Source organism: Homo sapiens, chromosome 4 (genome assembly GCF_000001405.40).
Source record: "Homo sapiens chromosome 4, GRCh38.p14 Primary Assembly".
Taxonomy (NCBI): domain Eukaryota; kingdom Metazoa; phylum Chordata; class Mammalia; order Primates; family Hominidae; genus Homo; species Homo sapiens.
Window position 1 is genome coordinate 86,006,690 of NC_000004.12, and position 22,310 is coordinate 86,028,999.

General features: G+C 38.7%; 1 protein-coding gene across 10 annotated transcripts in view; it reads right to left on the reverse strand.

The window, feature by feature from the left end:
* Positions 3,716–22,310, reverse strand: part of MAPK10 (mitogen-activated protein kinase 10) — a 583,670-nt gene continuing 565,075 nt past the window's right edge. For 5 of the 10 annotated variants that reach the window (XM_047415964.1, NM_138982.4, NM_001318069.2 and 2 more), the window contains one exon: positions 3,716–10,681. In XM_047415964.1, the coding sequence (XP_047271920.1) occupies positions 10,539–10,681 (143 nt within the window). In that variant the 3' untranslated portion in view covers positions 3,716–10,538. Of the gene's footprint in view, positions 10,687–22,310 lie in introns of all 10 variants that reach the window. The other 5 variants (NM_002753.6, NM_001351625.3, NM_001363657.3 and 2 more) reach the window with 2 other exon arrangements.

Genomic DNA, 22,310 nt, shown 5'->3' on the forward strand with positions numbered 1-22,310 from the left:
CCATCAGACCCTCATCGCTGGTTACCTGTTGCCAAAATAGTCCAAGTTCCCATGCCATTTTTCCTTCATCTATTTGCTTATCCCCATATTGCCCAGTGTATTCTCTCATTTGCTTCTATCTCCAATGGCCTCCCCCTGCCTAGGACTTTTCCATTATCCCCTCTAGATCTTACAATGCCATCACCCTCCCCTATGTCCTCTTCTCTGAATCATGGTTGCCTCCTGAAGACACCATCTTCCCTGCAGCCCTCTCAAGCCTAGCTATCTTCCTCTCTACAACCTGCGTATCATTGGCCTGAAGGGGAGACATCTTGCTTTGCTATTTGCAGCTACTTTCAGACCTTTAATCCTTCTTCCTCTCTAATGACCTTCTTACAAGCACATGTCTCCTTATCATTGACTGAATATTCTAGCACCTAACCCACTCACCCTCCCCACTCATACTCCATTCACCATCTTGGCCACTCAGCTCCTTGACGACTTTTGAAAATCTTGTTCTGCCGCTGCCTGAACATCAGCCACCACACTCATGGTTACACTGCGTACTGTGTCATGACTAATCACTGGCATCGCCAACAGTTCCATTTCAAGCATCCCACGCTGTGGTCATCACTTCTTCTCTCTCTAGTCACTCCCCTTAGCACCATCACTCCAAATTGGTAAGTTTTCAGCGACTATCATCCCCCATTTCATTACTTCCCTCCTTGACCAGCTTAGCTTCTATGGTTCCTTCTCATAATTATTCTCTTGCCCCCATTTCCAAATCCCATTATGTACTCTCCCAGCACTGTACTACTCTTTTGAGAATTAAAAAGAAACAAATTGCAACTCTAGTAATTTTTTCTTACTCTTAACCTGTGCCTAAAAAAACTAAACATGACTGGAGAACAAAAGACCACCAAGTTGACCTGTGTTCCTTTGTATTTATATTAATATGGCTCACATGGTTTTCATCACTGTCCAGTAACTTATTGTCACAGTTTCCAAGGTCAATTTCACACTTCTCAAACTTCCACAAACTCTTCATTGTCTACTGACAACCTTACTTCTATCTTTACTGAGACAACAAAAAAAAAAATCAGATGAGTATGTACTTATGCCCATCACGTCACCGTATTCCCAAACTACCTGCCTCTGTGCACACCACCTCACTGCCTGCTGCAGTTACTGTCCAGGGCCAGCGCCTCTGCCCATGTACTGGAGCCTGTCCCTCCACCCTTTTCAAGCATGTTACTCTATCAAATAAATATCCCTTTCTCTTTTGCATTATCAGTTTTGCTATCTCTCTGTTGGCCCCACCAGCACTATTACCCATGCTATATTAGCTTTTAAAAAAATCTCTCAATCTCACATTTATCTCCAACGTTTACATCATTCTTTTGCTGCACTTTGTAGAAAAATATTTTGAATTTTCTGTATCTATTTCTACTTCCTTACTTCCCATGTTTTCTTGAACTCACTCGAGTTACTCTTTTCTTGCTCAATACTGGATAGAAACTGCTCTCATTGGGGTCATCGATGACCTTCAAACAGATTTAGTCCAACTGTGAATCTTCAGTTCCCATTTTACTCAGCCTCTCAATAACAATCCGCCCCTGCCCATTCTCTCACTTTTGAAACACCTTCTTTACTTGGCTTCCAGGACAGCACACTCCTGGTTTTCCCTCTACCTCACTGAACATTCTGGAATACCCTCCTGTTTTCTGAGGTCTGTATGTTGGAGTGAGAGGCATCTCCATCTTTGGTTTTCTCTTCTTTAACTACACTGTCTTTTGGTGGGCTCATACAGGCTCTTGGCTTTTAATACTACTTATAAACTGATTACTCTCAGATTTCTGTTTCAGCTCACCCTCTTCCTTGAACTCCAGCTTATAAGACACTCCTGCTACTCCACGTGGATTTTTTTTTTTTTTCTTTTTTTTTTTGAGATAGAGTCTCACTCTGTCACCCAGGCTGGAGTGCAGTGGCTTGATATCGGCTCACTGCAACCCCCGCCTCTCGGGTTCAAACAATTCTCCTGCCTCAGCCTGAGTAGCTGGGACTACAGGCACATGCCACCACACCCAGATAATTTTTTGTATTTTTAGTAAAGATGGGGTTTCCCCATGTTAGCCAGGATAGTCTCGATCTCCTGACCTCATGATCTGCCTGCCTTGGCCTCCCAAAGTTCTGGGATTACAGGCGTGAGCCACCGTGCCCGGCCTCCACTTGGATATCTAATAAACATCTCCAACTGATATTCCAAAAACAAACATGATTTTCTCCCCAATGTTTTTCTAACCCATTGTTCATCATCTCAGTCAACTGTACCATCATTTACTTCATGGTTTAGGTAAAAGAATCTAGAGCCATTTCTGATCTCTTGCTTTTATATCACAATATCAATCTATCAGCAAATCTTCTCAGCTCTGCCTTCACAATAGGTCCAGAATTCAAATCCTTCTCACCATCTCCTTTTCCTAGTCTAAGCCCCATCATGTCTTTCTGGATTAATGTTTTATCCTACGATGGATTTTTTTGTCCCCATTCTTATCTTTCTTCCTAAGAGTCCTCTTTACTCAGTAGCCAAAGGAATCCTTTTAAAAAGAAAATTTAGCTTATATCATTTCCTTTTTCAAATCTAACCACCATCTTCCCATATTTAGAATCAAATCTCAAGATCTTGCCATGCTCTGACCCCTGCTTCTCTCTCCAATTTCATTTACAATCCCATTTACTCTTGTTCATTCTGCTTTATCCACAAGACTCTTTGCCCCTCCTTGTCTATATAAACAAGCTCTCCCTCCAAAGCCTGCCCCTGCTTTCTCTTCAGAGTCTGAAATGCCCTTCTCCGTGTCAATAGCTCACTCTCACTTCAGTCAGGTCTCTGAGCACTTATCCCCTCTTCTGAGAGGCTTGCCCTGACCACCTTGTCTAAAATAGCATCCCTTTCCCACCTTACTTTTTAACCTGCTTTGTGGTCTTCGTACTTACCTCTATCTGACTTCTCCACTAGAATGCAGACCATGTGAAGGCAGATTTGCTGACTTCATCACATCAACTATGTGTACCTAGAACAGTCCTTGGATGGTTGACGTGCTTGATAAATAAATATTTGTTGCATGAATGAATGAGTGAATATTTAGAGCTCTATGTCAAATTTCTGGTTCAGATGTTCAGGGATGTTCTCAGTTGGACCTTTTAATAAAAAAAAACAATAAATGACCAAATTCTACTTTAAGTTATTTTAGGGTTCCAACAGTCACCCATAGACTGAACAAACTCCGAAGATTTGGCTTCATGTAAGAATGTCACTGCAAAGAAGCTTCAGTACCCATTGTGATATCATTTGCTAATTTGGAGATTGTGATGCCAAAAGTATAAGCCCCATGCTCAGTCAGCATCTAGGTCCAATAGCTCTCAGAGGAACCATACATCAAAGCAAACTTTCTGCAATGCGGAAAAGAACATCCATGCATTTTTAAAATGAATTTTAAATTTTAAATAATTTTTAAAAGTGGTTTCATCTCTTGTAATGGAAAATATTCAAAATTCTCATGCTGATTCATGAAGTATACTTATATAATTAGACAAAATAAGAACATTGAAAGAAGCAGACTCCTTGTTTCATCGCTTTAAGCAAATAATAAAAATGGACTCGTGCAAGTCACACCACTAATTTAAATACATTTTGTAAAAAGATAGCAAATAAATGAAATAAAAATATTTGCTTTAGTTTTTTTAAACAAAGATTTATTAACTCTGAATTTTTTAGGTTAAGGACCATGCAATATATATCTCCTACACCGAAGTGTCCAAGAAATGTTTTTGGAGTAAATTAATGAACTGCTTTAGAATGTTGCTCAGAAATTAAGCTAGAAATTCAGAGCAATATTCTCAGGGCTTGATTTACACCAAATCCAAGTTCGCAATGTATTAACATGAAGGAATAGGCCATTGCTTTCTGAAAACCTTCCTTTTATAAAAGAAATACTTTAATATTATGAATTCTCTTGGTCTGTGTAAAATATTATTTGCATTATAAAAATTGATTTTTTGGTATAATTGTTCATAGGCAATATTTTCACCAGGATGGGTTCACAAGTGTTAATGGAAGGCGAATTATGTGTGGGACAGTCTTCTAGGGAATATGTGAGGGGTTTTTAAGATGGATAACATTTTGTACCTGCTTTTGAGTTGCAAATGATCTGGACTGTTGGTTAAACATCGCAGACAAGATCAGGTGAAGAACATTACTAGAAGTTCAGTGATTAAGAAATAAAGCCACGTACCCCACGGAGTGAAATTTGAATTCCTTAAATTCCCTCAAATTATTTTATGTTGGATTTTACACCAGGATAGGAATGTCTTTAAAAGTAAGAAATATTTGACATAAGGTAGAAAATTTCAAAGGAGTGTTTGACTTGTTGCTGGATGTGTCACCACATTTCATGTGTCTGAGAAATATAAATTTCTACAGCACATTTTTAGTGCCTTAAACAGACTACAATGATGTAAATGGTTGAACAGTTGAAATTTAGTCTGGAACTGGGACAGATGACTTGCCACATAGAGTGGCTCCCAACATAAAGTGATCTGTGATGGCAGGACTTTCAGCGTGTTTCACTATTAGCATGTGTCATCCAAGCATGCCTTTCAACATCTGTGGAGAAAAGACATGTTACAAATACAAAACACCACCATGATGAATTGGGAATGTCAAAAACCTCTGCCTTGGCTGTGATCCAGTGTTGTTATTGGCAAGTAGATTCATCCTTCTAGGTTGGTTGCTCCATAAGTAATCTTCAAGAAAAGCAAGTCCAACACCCTTTTTTCTCCTTACTGTGAACTTGGTCAAAATTACCAAATGTTTGGTAACCATTTATGGTATCAGGAATGCACCAATAACTCCTTCTGACTCTTTAAGAGCAATCATCTTGTGGAATGCAATTTCCCTTCTTATTATTGTGGGTATTTTTAGGTACCTATGCTTGACCTTTTTTAAAGAGAGTAAGGATCTGTGATTTAAACTAGGATAGAAGCTGTTCCAGAGATAACAAAAAGCTGTTGCTTTCTATATTCCAACAGGAACTAGGTAAAACGATAAATGTGATAACTCAAAATAATGTGTATGTTTATCTTCCAGGCTTTCTAATAGTTAATTGGTTAAATAAAACATTATTTACAGAAATAGAAGAGCCACTCCTCAACTGTTCAAACACTGCAAAGTAAACTAATGCAAGTGCAGTGACCTCTTCATCCAGCCACAAAATCATATATATTTTTAATTCTCCAAGGAGTTTGAGATAGTAAAGTTGGATATCATGTAGCTAAACAAAGGCTTTTACCTTTTCTCTTGGAAAATAGTTAAAATGAATAGAAATCTGATAATTAATCTGGGAAATTTAACCCTGCTCTACTTACCTAATGCCCCCCCAAAAGATGATCTTTTTTTTCTTCATTGATTTTATACCTTAAAAAGAAATTACTGAATTGCAGATATACAACTAGTATCTACAGACAGAAATGAAGGTCAGTTTTAGAAGAAACCAGTGTCAAATGAAAACACAGATTTCTACATGGTCACATTCATATCACACACTCTTGACCCAAGGTGAGAAAGTAGGTCATTCCTTATTTCTTATTTATTCCCTGGCACAATCAGACCACACTACAAGTTTCTTTTACCAGTTGCCAAAATGAAATCATGACACCCTTCAGAGCTACTGTCGTTACATGCAACTCAAGACAACGAGCAGCATCATAACCATTGTCAACAGGCAAACTCCAACAATGTCTGGGTTTGGATTTGGTTTTATGTTGAGAGAAGCAGATTTCCTCTGATTTTAATAATCCATAAGAAACAGAAATCATAATATATTGACTCCATATTACCTAAAAAGAGTCAAAAGAAGCAGAAGTTCTCCCCCGATTCATCCTCTTGTTCCACAGACATTTTGAAAATAAAAGAAGACAAAATAGAAAGGAAAGGGTGTGAGAAAGAACACAGAAATGACTTGAACGATTTCAAATCCTTATTAAGCATCACTGAGGTTGCATTTTACCCATTAGACTGACTGAATTTAGTTCTCACTGCTCAGACCTTGCAAAGAAACTGGACGTACATGGTTTTGCCTTCCAGGGTTGATCTAGAACTGTAAGGGTGCATGTGAATGTGGGTATGCATGTGTGTGTGCTTTAAGTCCATTTTATAAACACTGACACAAGACAATTCTCATCATTGGTAATAGTCTTTGGAGTCCAATCATGCAGAAAAACAGGCAGGTGCAAGTTAGGTCTCATTGCAAGATGGACATGGCAAGGTGAACAGATAATCCTACATAAGGATTGGGAGATTTGTGTCCATTAGAATATACTGGCCATTGGTCCCACATAAGTAAAGTTACATATACAAGATTCTATATATAAACAGAGGCCCCTCACTTCAGTTTGGCTGACCAAAGAAACAGGTCAAAGTGAGCCATTTTCAGATAGTTAAAGGACTAAGTACCAAAAGAAATAACAAAATCTTATCCTCTAATCACAAAGAAAATAGCTAAAATAACTATTTACATTGCAACTTTTTTGTTGTTTTTACAGAGAGGAGTTTCCTTGCTTGGCTTAATGATATCTGTGGAAAATGTTGAACTCTTATAATTAAAATGTGTGTGGGGGATTGTGAGTGGGGAGTTGGGTTCCTCTTTGGATGCAAAGTGGCTGAGATCAAAAATTTCTAGAGCAATTTTACTCCTCTTTCTGAGCTGTAGAAGAATACATTTTTCAGCAAAGCTGGCTAATAACATGCCTTACAGAGCATAATGCACTTAAGATGTGGCTTTTCATATGTTAAGAGATTCAAATCGAAATAGATTTTGTATAATTTAGGTTTTGCAATGAATATTTACAATTTTAAAACAAATCAAGTTTGCTTATTTTTTTTTCCTTGACAGGACATAAAAGGTTTTACATATTTTTATCTATTTTTTACTAGTTCCATTTACTAAGGCCAACTTTCAGTTTTACCAGTCAGCTGCTATCAGTGTCTTTAGATAATATTTTTCTGATAACAGATTGAAAAAACTATCGAGCTTCTTAACCCTCAATTAAATAGCTTACTCCAATTGGTGGGAACTGGCCAGGCTCTGGTCCAACTGTTGGGTACATTCCTACAAAACTCAGTCATCAGATTCTTGAAGATGAAAGGTTATTATCAGTTTTTATTCCACAAGAAGAAATTCCGTTGTAAGGCTAGTGTATTCCTATTTAAAATTGAACACGCTGACCCACAAAACACATATAAAAATAGTAAAGACATATTAATAGTAAAGTGGTGGCGGTTTTGCCAAACTCTTGCAGCAGTTTAATTTTCCCTGCACATGAGTACACAGCCATCCTTCCTACAAAATACTGCAAACTATTTTATTAAGGATCACTGCAAACCAACTGCCCCAAAGGAAGCCTAACAGAAGGTTAGGCTCCTCAGAGTGCCAACTTCATGTTCCAAAATGAGCCCCAACCCCAGGTAGAACCTTCACTTTTTTTCAGGAATATTGTCCAGGTGACTTGACACTTGCCTACCGGAAAAGTTGGGATGTTCTTGGGAAATAACAGGTGACTATTTAAGAAATATTTGGGGTGTGTGTGTGTGTGTGTGTGTGTGTGTGTGTGTGTGTGTGTTAAGACAGACAAGTGAATGCAGAACATATTATATTCTGTGAATTTGATAATATCATCACCTCCTAGACATATTATAGGAAAGCAGACCTAGTGGGCAAAGGACTGGGGGGCTTTTACAGTGGTGATTCTCTTTGTTGTTCCATCATCTGCCTTGCTTTAATCACCTAATAAAACTGATCCTGCAAAAATTCTGGGGGCCAAATCCTTACCTCTATTTGTAAATGATACTTATATTCAAGGAATTTGTTCCATTTTTCTCTTGTCCATAAGGGAAATCTGGCTAAAGCTAACCAGCTCCCAAGAGCCATGCACAGAAGATGTAAGACTAATTGAGCTTTGGGAAGGTACTAACAGCGGGGGAGGGGCCCTGTCTAGTTCTTGCCTGGTTTACTCTGAGGGGGAAATTCACCACTTATGCAGGTACGAGAGATAGCCTGTCAAGCACTTTGAAGATGCTGGCTGGAGACTTCCTTCTGTCTTGTGATGTCATCTTGCGGCTGATGAAATTCCCCTTGAGACTCTCTTTAAAGCAGCTTCCTGCTCTCCGCACTTAATCCCATGTGGTATAAAGTAAGGGAGGGGAGAAGCCACAGATATATCAAGAGAAAAGTACCGAGAAAGAAAATCAGTAAAGAATTAGAGATACAGAGAGGAGAAGTTTTTAAAAAAAAAAAAAAAAAACAGGAATATGAAAGAGAGGGAGCTCAAGTGACTGAGGAGGCATTTTTAACAATCAGGTTATCTGCAATATTAACCAGAAAAAAAATGGTAGCAAAATAGAGAAAATGGGCCATTTTTATTCCAGGGGACAAGCTGCACAAAGGAATGTTCTTCTATTTATTTTAAACAAATGACTGCGTGTACTGAATCTGACTGTGTGAAATAATCTCAGAATGGCAGCACCACTGGCATGGCGATGGTGCAGGTGGGTGCAGTTCCCTGTGGTCTCTATTGCTTGAAGAGAGAAAGAAAGTTCCCTATTATTATATTTAAGGCAGTTTTCAGAGCACTGGCATTCTTGTTTGCTCTGTTTTGGGGATATTCTATTTGCCAATCAGTTCACACTCATCAACCATCCACTTCCTGTCTTTCACTTCTTCAGGTGAAATATCACCACTCTAGTGAGCACCAACATGGTCAGAGTGCAAATAACTGTGATGGATACTTCGAAGTGAATAAGAAGGGAAGCCTGATTATTGCTGAGATCACCTTGGTATTGCCTTGTACATAACCAAGATGTTTCACAGTGCCTCCTTAAGTGCTCAGGAAAGCACTTTCATTTAATTTAATTTAAGCTAAATTCTGGAGATTTTGCTAAACATTGACATTAATGCTTCATGGCTTTTAAGACAAACTCATATTGCTAAAACTATTTGGCAGCAGTAAATTTATGGGCAGAGTTATTGCTCTTACATCTACTGCAGTACAAAACTCAGATGATCAGCCCTTCGATTGCTCATACTTATTAAAATAAATAAATAAACATGAAACATCAGCCACATTAAGGAGTCAGGGAAACTCCTGAGGAATAACAATGTCTCTGGAGATGTTTTCAAATGCTAACCTGAGACTCACACTGTGGTTTGGGGGTTTCATTATTATTATTATTATTTTATTTCAGAAGAGGAAAGTAATATTATTTCTCAAAATAAAACTTTGGCAGAGTATGAATCAGGGAAGCAGCCCACACATGGAAAACACAATCCACAATCTGAAAGTAGTCTAGGCAGGCTCATTTTTTTGTTGAAGGAATTCACATGGAGGCAATTCTGCTCAGTTCCAGAGAGAGATTCTTATCATCAAAAGCACACACAATAACCTTGCTTCACCACCTGCCACTTTCTCCAGTGGCCTCTTGTTGTGACCAGTAATTGAGAAATGACAAATGGGTATAGAGCCAAATCTCTAAAACAGGGACACCAGTGTCTCCTAGTATCTGGGTAATAACCTCCTTTCAGTCTTAGTCCACACCACACACTACCCTCCAGTCTCTCCTACTCTTTACTGTCACAGAAAAGACTCTCAGCTTTTATTCACACCTGCCTTCAGAAGGCCAAACCATTTTGTGCCTGAAAACTGTTACCCACTCGCCCCACACTTTACATAAGTATCACATATGTTCTTTCTACAAATTGGTATACAGGTGCCATTTAATCCATTCAAATTTGGAAGCTACATCTTCAAGGGTCTGAGAGAGCTCACTCCCCCCATATATTCCCCCTTTACATGTTTTCTTATAAGACATACAGTTTAATCAATTAACAAACTAAACAGCTTATATACTGGCAATATATTACAGATGGGTTTATGTCAGAGTAATAGATCACATGAAATGGACCATGTGGTACCCCAGTGCATTATGTCTTGGTAGAGCCCTGAGGACACTGACAGTAGCATCTCTAAGTAAGTAGTGCTGTATGAATACAGACACATGCGGATCTGTATCTACATCCATCTGACTAGGCCAAGGAGCAGGTAGATGCAAGATAGAGACACACACATGCTGGATGGGGCCACTGCACACCTTGTCATGCCATTTAAAAGGGCAGTTACAGGTTGCCGGTTTTGCAGCCATTAAAATTACACTTTATGGAAAAGGCTTCTCTAATTGTGTCTGATTTGCTTTCTGTAGTAAGCATCATTGGAAGAAGACCAAAGCAAGAGCAACTAGAAGTTAAATATACATTTGAGCTTAGCTGCAATACAGAACCCTGGGGAAGAAGCAGGCTGAAAGATTTATTTAATTTTAGGCTTGGATTCTCTCCCTTGCTGTTTTCTTGATGTTGTGTGTCTGCATTTGTGTGTGTGTGTGTGTCTGCGTGTGTGTGTGTTCCATCACATCATCTCCTGAAGAACGCTGGGTTTCGCAGGCAGGCGGCTAGTCACCTGCAACAACCCAGGGGTCCTGCCGAGGCTTCCAGGCTGCTGTCAGTGTCAGATGCCAGGGTCTGGTCGGTGGACATGGAGGAGATGTCATTGACAGACGAGGATGGAGGGAGACTCTCACTGCTGTTCACTGCTGCACCTGTGCTAAGAAAATGAAGACCAACATGACTCAATCTAGAACCAGACCCATCTTAATGCCATTCAGGATTCAGGGATGGGCAAATACAATAGGGGATGTCCAGTCCATCAATCATTTGGCAAGCCTTTATAGAGCAGCTGACATAGGGGAGCATATCAAATGGTGACAATCAAGACATAGCAATAAAAAGTCCTTCATCACAAGTTATCAAATCTCACTCTATATTTGAAATCACCTGCAACACTTTCTATTAAAAAACACTAATATCTGGTCACATTGCCTCCCCTGCCCCCACTGCACTGCATATATTTTAATATAATTGGCCTTGGGTGAGGCCAAGGTATTTGCATTTTTATTTATTTATTTTTTTTGAGATGGAGTCTCGCTCTGTCGCCAGGCTGGAGTGCAGCGGCACAATCTCGGCTCACTGCAACCTCTGCCTCCCAGGTTCAAGCTATTCTCCTGCCTCAGCCTCCCGAGTAGCTGGGAGTACAGGTGCGCACCACCACACCCAGCTAATTTTTGTACTTTTAGTAGAGATGAGGTTTCAACATGTTGGCCAGAATGGTCTCGATCTCTTGACCTCATGATCCGCCCACCTCTGCCTCCCAAAGTGCTGGGATTACAGGCGTGAGCCACCACGCCCCGCGGGCATTTGCATTTTTTAAAAGCTCCTCAGAGACTGTATTCAGCCAAGCATTGAAAGCCTCTGGCTTATGCAGGAGACAAATAAGCAAAACCCCTTAATGGAGCCATCTGAGCCTGGTTGTTTTTAATGCAGGGAGCTTTTAAAACAAACATATGCAAGGGTCCTATCCCAGAAATAGAAGCTGAAGTGAAGTTCAGAAATCTGAATTACTTGGGGACCACATCTCTAGAGAAAGGAAGATATATAAATACTATTATGTCATCATTAATGACACCAAACTTAAAATGCATATAGAAAAGCCAGTAGGACATAAGTAGGACTGTTGATGAAAGTTACAAAAAAAAAAAAAATAGGAGAAGCCTTAGCACAGCTTTTGCTTATGAGCTAACTCTCCAGCAGGCTTGCTTACCTGGGATCTCCAAATAAGAACTCCAAATTATTAACTTAGATTAACTTGAAAAAATTGTTTATCTGTTATGCGGGAGTATAAGGTTGAAACCCTGAGAAGAAACCTGCCCATGGTAATCACTCAGTAAAGGCTAGCTGAGTTGCCAGTAGCTTTGAGATCAACAAAAGAAAGATGAACCAAAGGCATTGTGCGATACAATTAAACCAGAGCACCCTGGAAACAATCCATTTACTTTTTTTCTTTGTATATTCTTTATACCTAAGCAATCTGAGTGGTAACACACTTGCTTTGTGAAATAGCTCGCTATTAAAAATCTGTAGTATAGTCCCCTAATCAAATAAGAGATGAGGAATTCTCACTAAAATTATATCTTATTTGAGCAAATATAGTGTGCAAGATCTATTTGGTGAAAAATAATAACTCCAAAGTCAGTTATAATAGTGTTATCACATAGACCTAATAAATCAGAAAGACAAAATAAAACTAAATTAAGGAAGGGGAGTGGTTAACATAATCCTTGCTCCTGGAGTAGACATTTCTTGCCTGTGAGAAAAGTGTGATGAAAATGTATCAGTTATCTAGAGAGGACACAAACACCTAAACTAAGACAGATCACCTGTATCTTCCATGTATTTTTAAGTTGTATTTGTTGACTATAAATATATGGACGTACTCTATGGGAAATGTGAAAAAATATAGGAAATAAAGATAATGATATGCACCGATCTTCAAATAAACGGTAAGAACTGTTAAACTTTTCATATATTTCTTCCCGGTCATTCTTTTTGCCTGGAAGTTTCCCTGGTCGTGATCTTTTAATATGTATTTTTTTGGGATCTTGATATTTTTATATACAGAAAAGCTTATGAATTTTTCATGTTCTTTAAACTCCTAAAAATACCCATCCTTTCTAATCTTAAATGTCTCTAGAAAAGGTTTTTAAAGTCCTCCTGTTATTGTCTTTCTGTAAATAATTACTCTATCAGGACAATGTATAAAGTTATAATATTCCATAATATTCCAACTTTGAATGGCTTTAATTTATTCCAACTTTACTTAATTATATCCCCCATAGCTATGGTACAGAGCTGGTTCATTTCCCCTCATGATAAGATTTTATCTCCTAGCAGACAGCCCTTGGTTCCTTTACATTGCCCAAATGCCCTGCTCTGTTTTTCACCCCCGATTCTGGATTAAATTATACCAATATCCTTCATATTCTTTCATAAGTTGCTAATAATTTAGTGTCACTATGATGGACTCCTCAGAATTCTCTTCCATTTATCCACACTCTTATTAAAAGACAGAGATTAAAACTGGACACAGGACTCTATTATAAAGGCCTGATCAATTGTGAGCCTAGCAGAGGGAAATTGCTTTTTTCTTACTATTTGTCTGCTGGATGACATATCCCTAGACTATGGATGCCTTTCAAATTATGGTGCTACAGCTTAATTTAGTTTTGACTTGAGGTATAGAATGATGCTCATATATTTTTTGTAACAGCTTTATTAAGATATAATCCACATATATAATTAAGAAATTTAATTTTCATGATTCAGTGTTTTTTAGTATATTCACAACATTGTGCAGCCATCACCACAATCCATTTTGCAGCATTTCATCATCCCTAAAGAAAACCCTGCACTCCATTCCTCACCTACCCTGTAGCTCTAGGCAATGACTCATCTACTTTTTGCCTCTATAAAATTGCCTGTTCTGAACATTTCATGTAAATGGAAGCATATCATATGTGATCATTTATGACTGGCCACTTTCATATAGCAGAATGTTTTTAAGGCTTATCCATGCTGTGGCATGTATCTGTATTTCATATCTTTGTATGGCTGCATAATATTCCATTGTATGGATACATCACATTTTGTTTATTTATTAGTTGATAGGCATTTGATGGATATTTAGGTTGTTTCAACTTTTTGGCTATTACAAATAATGCTGTTATGAACATTCATGCACGAGTTTTGTATGGACATGTGTTCATTTCTCTTGGGTATACACCTAGAAGTGGAATTGCTGGGGCATAGAGTAATTCTAGCTTTAACACTTGAGGAACTGACAAACTGTGTCCGGAATTGGTGGGTTCTTGGTCTCACTGACTTCAAGATTGAAGCCGCGGACCCTCGCGGTGAGTGTTACAGCTCTTAAGGTGGCGCGTCTGGAGTCTGTCCCTTCTGATGTTCAGATGTGTTCGGAGTTTCTTCCTTCTGGTGGGTTCGTGGTCTCGCTGGCTCAGGAGTGAAGCTGCAGACCTTCACGGTGAGTGTTACAGCTCTTAAGGCAGCGAGTCTGGAGCTTTTCGTTCCTCCCAGTGGGCTCGTGGTCTCACTGGGGTCAGGAGTGAAGCTGCAGACCTTCGTGGTGAGTGTTACAGCTCATAAAAGCAGCATGGACCCAGAGTGAGCAGTAGCAACATCTACTGCAAAGAGCAAAGAACAAAGCTTCCACACTGTGGAAGGGGACCCAAGTGGGTTGCCAATGCTGGCTCGGGCAGCCTGCTTTTATTCTCTTATCTGGCCCCACCCACATCCTGCTGATTGGTAGAGCCGAGTGGCCTGTTTTGACAGGGTGCTGACTGGTGCATTTACAATCCCTGAGCTAGATACAAAGGTTCTCCACGTCCCCATCAGATTAGATACAGAGTATCAACACAAAGGTTCTCCAAGGCCCCACCAGAGCAGCTAGATACAGAGTGTGGATTGGTGCACTCACAAACCTTGAGCTAAACACAGGGTGCTGATTGGTGTGTTTACAAACCTTGAGCTAGATACACAGTGCCGATTGGTATATTTACAATCCCTGAGCTAGACATAAAGGTTTTCCAAGGCCCCACCAGAGCAGCTAGATACAGAGTGTCGATTGGTGCACTCACAAACCCTGAGCTAGACACAGAGTGCTGATTGGTATGTTTACAATCCCTGAGCTAGACATAAAGGTTCTCCAAGGCCCCACCAGAGCAGCTAAATACAGAGTGTCGATTGGTGCACTCACAAACCTTGAGCTAAACACAGGGTGCTGACTGGTGTATTTACAATCCCTGAGCTAGACATAAAGACTCTCCACGTCCTCACCAGACTCAGGAGCCCAGCTGGCTTCACCTAGTGGATCCCGTACCAGGGCTGCAGGTGGAGCTGCCTGCCAGTCCTGCGCTGTGCGCTCGCATTCCTCAGCCCTTGGGTGGTCGCTGGGACTGGGCGCCATGGAGCAGGGGGTGGTGCTCGTCGGGGAGGCTCGGGCTGCACAGGAGCCCATGGAGTGGGTGGGAGGCTCAGGCATGGCGGGCTGCAGGTCCTGAGCCTTGCCCCGCAGGAAGGCAGCTAAGGCCCGGCGAGAAATCGAGCACAGCGCCGGTGGGCCGGCACTGCTGGGGGACCCAGTACACCTTCCGCAGCCACTGGCCCGGGTGCTAAGTCCCTCACTGCCCGGGGCCAGCAGGGCTGGCTGGCTGTCCCGAGTGCGGGGGCCCGCCAAGCCCACGCCTACCTGCAACTCCAGCTGGCCCGCAAGCGCCGCACGCGGCCCGGGTTCCCGCTCGTGCCTCTCCCTCCACACCTCCCTGCAAGCTGAGGGAGTGGGCTCCAGCCTTGGCCAGCCCAGAAAGGGGCTCCCACAGTGCAGTGGGGGGCTGAAAGGCTCCTCAAATGCCGCCAAAGTAGGAGCCCAGGCAGGGGAGGTGCCGAGAGCAAGCGAGGGCTCTGAGGACTGCCAGCACGCTCTCACCTCTCAAAACTGTTTTCTAAAGTGGGTGCACCATTTTACATTACTACCAGCAGTATATGAGGATTCCAATTTCTCTACATCCTCACCAACACTTATTATCTGTCTTTTTATCTAGCCATCCTAGTGTGCATGAAATGGTATCTCATTGTGGTTTGATTTGCATTTGCCTGATAGCTAATAATGTTGAGTATATTTTTTCATGTGCTTGTCAGCCATTAGTATATCTTCTTTGGAGAAAGTTTACTCAGCTCCTTTGGCCATTTTTTAATTGCTTTATTTTCTTTTTATTATTGAGTTGTAAGCTCTTTAGCTCTTTCTTCCTTTCTTTCTTGCTTTCTTTCTTCTTTATTTCTTTTTTTAAGGACAGGGTCTCAGTCGCCCAGCCTGTAGCACAGTGGCATAGTCATGTTTCACTGTATCCTCTAACTCCAGGGCTCAGGCAATTCTCCTGCCCCAGCCTCCCAAGTAGCTAGGACTACAGGCACATACCACCACACCTGGCTAATTAAAAAAAAGATTTTTTGTAGAGACAGGAGCTTGCCATGTTGCCCAAGCTGGTCTCAAACTCCTGGCCTCAAGTGATCTTCCGATTTCTGCCTCCCAAAATGCTGGGTCTACAGGCATGAGCCACTGTGACAGGCCTGTAAGAGCTCTTTATATAATCTGGGTACAAGTTACTTAATGAGATATGTATTTTCAAATGTTTTTCCTCTATGCTATGGTTTATCTTTTCATTTTCTTGAAGGTGTCTTTTGAAGCACACATATTTTTAATTTTTATGAAATAGCATTTATCTGTTGTTTCTTTTATCACTTGTGTTTTAGTGTCATATCTAATAAACCATTTTCTAATCCAAGATTATAAAAACTTACTCCTATGTTTTTGCCTAAGAGTTTTATAATGTTAGACCTTATACTTAAGTCTATGATTCATTTTTAGTTCATTTTTGTATATGATATGAGGCAGGGGCCCACCTTCATTCTTTTGCATGTATATATCCAATCATCCCAGCACCATATATTGAAAAGGCTATTCTTTGTCCATGTCTTACATCCTTATCAGAAATCAATTGATCATAAATGTAGGTATTTATTCCTGGACTCTCAATTTGATTCCGTTGATCTATTTGTGTATCTTCATGCAAATAGCACTCTGTCTTGAATATTGTAGCTTTGTAGTAAGTTTTGAAATCAGAACATGTAAATTTCCCAGCTGTGTTGTTTTTCAAGGTTATTTTGGATATTCTGTATCCTTTGCATTTCCACACAAATTTTAAGATGGGGCTTGTCAATTTCTGCAAAAAAGACAGCTATGATTTTGATAAGTATTGGCTTAATCTGTACATCAATTCGGGGAGTATCTGTCATTTCTTGACAATATTAAATATTCTAATCCATGAGCAATGAAATGTTTTTCCAGTTATTAGATCCTCTTTAATTTCTTTCAACAATGTTTCGTAGTTTTCAGAGTACAAAACTTGTACTTCTTTTGCTAACTTTATTCCTAAATATGTATTTCTTGATGCTATTCTAAATGGAATTGTTTTATGTTCATTGCTAATGTGTAGAAATACAATTATACTGAGGACTTATTTGAATAAGAAGTTTCAGTGTCAGTGGATTGGATGTTAAAAACAGATCAAATGAATATATATATATATATATATATATATATATATATATATAAAATGAATGTTGTAATTAACTAGAAAGCCAGTGGAACCAGGCGATTATGATAGCATGCTTTATTTATGAGAAAATAACCAGTTTTAAAAATAACTGGTTTTATGAGAAAATAACCAGTTTTAAAACTTTAAAAAGTTTTAAAATAAAATTGTGGCATAATACAAACCAAAAAGTATTTTTAAGTCTTTAATAATAATCTTGGTCTTCTCTTGAGATAGGCTTTTTCCCCTATCCTGGCTGGAGTTGATTATGTAGACACATTCTTATTGTCACAATTAAAGTTGAGTAATGATTCAAATAAGGGTGAGATAAGTCTTAGCTGAAATAAGGCTCCCTTATAGTAAAACAATTTGATGTTTACAAATAAACACAAACCCACAACAATGGCAGCTAGAGAAATTAAACAAAGAGCATTGAAGAAATTTCTCCAAAACACAAATTTATATCTACAAATAATATTGAATGTATGTAACAAAAGCCAAAGTAGCTTTTAATAAGCTCTTCATAAACAGGATCGTGCTGCAGGCTATGCTTATAAAACACACAGCACTCCTACTGCACTTATTTTCAAAATCAGCATATTTTCAGCACACTTCTGGAATATTCCGAGTGTTATGCCATACCAGTCAGCCCCTTATTATATGTAGTTTTGTTATGGATTACCTCAAGCATATATTTCCCCTGCTTCTTTTTACTGCTTTCATTATACTTCATTTCTCCTGTCTTCCACAATGTCTACTGCTGAGTAGTAGCACAGAGTAAGTATTCGAGTTAACAAAACAGTATTGAGTATCTTATGTGTACTCTTCTAGATAGGTTCTGTGAGGAAAAGCAAGTTCCTTCCTGCTTTCCAACTAGTGAAACTGTTAAGCTATTTTTGGCCAAAGGAAATCACTTTGTTGCAGTTGTCTTTCTTCTCCTTTTGTTCATCAGCAGCTTCTCTCTAATTCCTATCCTCTGTGTTGGAATGGTCCTGCCCTCTAGTTTATCAATGTTGAATGCAAATATAATTAGTGTTCAACTACTCAAAGTTCAAAATCTATCAAAGTCTTTATCAGCTGTATTTCTAGGGATCCATAGACTATTGCTTCTGATTTTATATGGCACAAATTCATTAAGAGAAGTCTTCAGTGCTTCCTTTGTAAAAGTTCCCATGACATCTGCTTGTTTCATGGGAATGGTTCCTTGCTATCCAGTGTGATGGTGGGAGAGAACCGTGCACTGTCTATGGTGTCCTGGAGCTGGCTTTTAGTGGCTTCTTAGAACGAATTATTAGCATCTCTTTCCAACTCTGCATCCATTGATGTTACATTGTTGCTTAAAATTGGTCACAGTGAGAATATTTATACCACAGGAATTGTTAAGTGCTACTAGTCAATTCTTTTTTTAAATATAGTTGTTAAATGTTAACCAGTCCACCACTATTAGATGAAAACTATTTGCTTCTGTATGACTCCCTCTATTGCGCTATAATAAATGCCTCCTTGCCTGCAGCCACTTCTGCTGGATGATCCATTCAAGTCTATTTTCATGTAGGCAATAAACAGGAGTTCTAAACCATAAACCCAAACACAAACGTAAGGGACAAGACATGGGCCTTGGCTTTAAGTTGTTAAATTACTGCCAAGCAGTTTGCGAAAATCTCTTAAACAGAATTGAACTGAATTGAATATGATCATTGTGTTCAGTTGTCCAGTCAATGTGAGAAATATCTCTTCTTTCTATATTATTTAAGAGAAAACAGTAGAGATACACATTTTCAAAAATGTTTTGCCATCAATAAAGCATTACAAATTTTTGTCTATAAAAATGGCATTAAAAGGAACTGAAAATGTCAATAGGGTTGCAAATGAGGAATATTAGCTACCTTCAACTTTACCTAAAAAATCAGATTTCATAGAAAGAAGTAACATATGCTAAAGAAAATTTCTCAGCTACAAGTTATTCAACCAAAAAACATTGTTATGGGGGAAAATGTTGTTCTGCTTTTTTTAAAGGCAATGATTTTCCTGATAACCCCCAATCCCAACAACAACAAAAAAATATGGTAGACACAGAATTAGAAAAAGCACAAGAATGAAAAAATAGTGTCTTTTTTATCTACATGATCTTGAGCCACAATTTGTCTGGGCCTGAGATTTTTTAATAAAAAGTAAATAAAATTAATGGACTATATTAGTGACCCTAAGACATATTCCCATGGTGGGGAATGTGGTCCTCACTGGGGAGAGAATGGTTGCATATTAAAATCACCCAGAAGCTTTATCTTTGATTTAGAGATTTTGAAAAATCTCTGCCCATCCTGTTGTTCAGCATCCTTATCTTAGTGAGTCACTGTTAGTTTTGGGAGCTTTACTTCTCAGGTGGAAGAGGGCTGGTGAACAAACTCAGAATTGGTGAATCAGATGCTCTCCTGTATTTTTTCTAGTTCTAACGTACTATAACAAATGCTTTTAGAAGAAAATTAATTTCAATTCATGGACTGCTAGTCCCTCAGCAATTGTTACAGATCAATTCAGGAAGCAAGCAGCTATGCCATCCTTGAAAATAAATTACTATGCAAGTGAAATCAGATAGCAGAAGGGAATACAATTATTTATTTGGAAATGTATCTGAAGTTTAGATTTATCTCTTATTGACATACAACAATTTCATCAATAAATTTCAAACCTATAAATTATTCTGCAAATGCACATTTAACTTCCTATTTACATTTTAAAAGCATCGCATAACATGGGTTTCGTATTAGAAGTACTTGGCCCCTGAGATACTGCATTAACTTACTCCCTTGCTGCAGAATTCCCAGTATTGCCATAACTGAATACTAACAGAGTGTGTGTTATAAAAATACCACAGCTATTTTCAAAATAAAATATGCTACGTGAACATTAATGAAAAAAAGCTGAATATAATGAACAATGCAAAAAAGCTGACTTTTCAAACTTTTTTTTAGAATTGCTTTTTCTTTCCAGCATAGTTTATTATACACACAAAAACGCATACACACAGTGGTGCGCCAATAAAAATTTAACAATTGGCTCTGCAGGGGGCAACAAAAACGCCCTGATTTGTAGGGTCTGCCAATTTCCATGTTGTAAATCCTTCGTGCCTGATTTCACGTTGCCAACACACCAACAATAAATGCATAGTTGGGAAGAGAGGTACAGAGTTGGCCGTCATGAGCTGGTAGAGTCAGCGCCAGCACATGGCTGCCCTAGAGCCTCTCCATCATGCACATAAATATGTCATACAGAAATGCATCCCATAATGTGTAGCATACATATGATTTCTCACGAAAGAGAAAGTCATACTACATGACTTATAACTAAGTCATGAATATTTTTCCTAGATTTAATCCACAATCATTTTAACTATAAATTGGTTAAGCCAGTCAACTATAGTTTAGGGCATATGTATTACATAGATAATTTTTAATTGTTAAGGTAGTTGGAATGGTTAAAAAGTGGCTTAGCCTTCTCACTCAGGTAGAGCCTAAGTTGCATATTTTAGAATTAATCATTAACACACTAAGCAGGCCTGCAAAACATCCATGAATATATATTTCCCAAAATGAATAAATCAAACACCTGAAAGCTGCAAACCTTTATGTGAAGCATGAAAAAATGCCAATAGCAAGAATTTATATACTTTATGCTTGGCCTGTTTATCTTCATGGAGATTAATAGAGTGAATAAATATTTATAATAATGGTGTAAGAACATGCTGAATAGTATACTGTATTAAAGTTACATGATCTTGTCTTGAATTTTGTGTTTGGAATAGTACTAAGAAATATGCTGAGGGAGAAATTGAGTGGCAATTTTCAAATTAATATATATTTACTGAGCTACTACTATGTGCAAGGCACAGCACCCAGGCACTACATGGGACACAAAGATAAATGCATACAGTCTTCTCAATGAAATTACAATCAATACGGGATAATAAGACAAGAGGTCAAATATTTAACATACAGGGACTAGTAGGACCTATAGAAAGGAAAGATCCTATTATTTGGGAAGATATAAAAAGTCTTTTGGGATAAGGTGGTATGAAAAGGAAATGAAGTAATGATAACTTGAACTGAAGATGAATAGAATAGGTTCTACTAAAATTTGTCCAGGCCCAGCCTAACATGCTAGGTTACCCGTGGCTACATTCTGTTATTTCTGCTGCTTAATGAGTACATGACAATATGTTCTGGTCATTATAGGAATTCTTAAAACAAGGAGTCATTCTGCCTTAGCAGGTGGCATCTTGAGGCTTTTGGATTCTGTCTTCAAGTTTTTTAATGAGCAACAGGCCAAACGTGGATTAGTTTGAAGCAGCTTCTGTGGACTGTGTCAATCTGTATGCGAGGGTGAATGAGTAGAGAGGGTGGTATGGAAAACAACTCCTGTGATTCCCTTAACCTTCTTTGAGGAAGGGAAAAACTTGGGATAAAACTGAGTATTTTTTCAAGTCTACTGGTGAGAAAAGCATGTCATAACCGAATTGCATCTGTTTGGGTATCATAGTGGTTTGGGGTGTAAATTAGTTATTCGAAGAGTAGTATCGATATGAATAATTGATTAATTATTTCATTCTACATCTTTTTTCCTAAAATAATTTAGGAAAACAACACCCTAATCAGTTTTTCTCAAAACTAGGCATTTGTAGCCCCCATTTTTGCTAGCAGGAGTTGAATGTAGTTTTTAAAGCTGAAAATAAACCATCACATTTTCTAAAACTCTTTATAGTGAGAGCATAGGTCTTAGGAAAAAATATATTAGCATTAATAAGTAAATTGTCTCAAGTCATACTAAAGCACATTACTAGGATCAGTAAAAAATATATATGCACAATTGTGTATTAGATTCTGTGGCTAGCAAACGAAAAATTTTCCAAGCTGACCTTAACCGGAGCCCATCTTGGTAGATGTTTCAACTATTGTCACATCAACCTTGAGAAGAGTTCAAACACTAAGAATGAATGAGGGAAGAGGTAGCGGCTGAAAGGATTACTGAGCTCCACATTGACTTGATGGTCAAAAGGGCATTATGGCTCTGAATTTTGATGAGGCACATTTACCCTTTAGCCCATGTTAACATTTTCTTCAGGATTCATTACTATTAAAATTATTTATGAAAAAGTTTTTGTACTGGATCA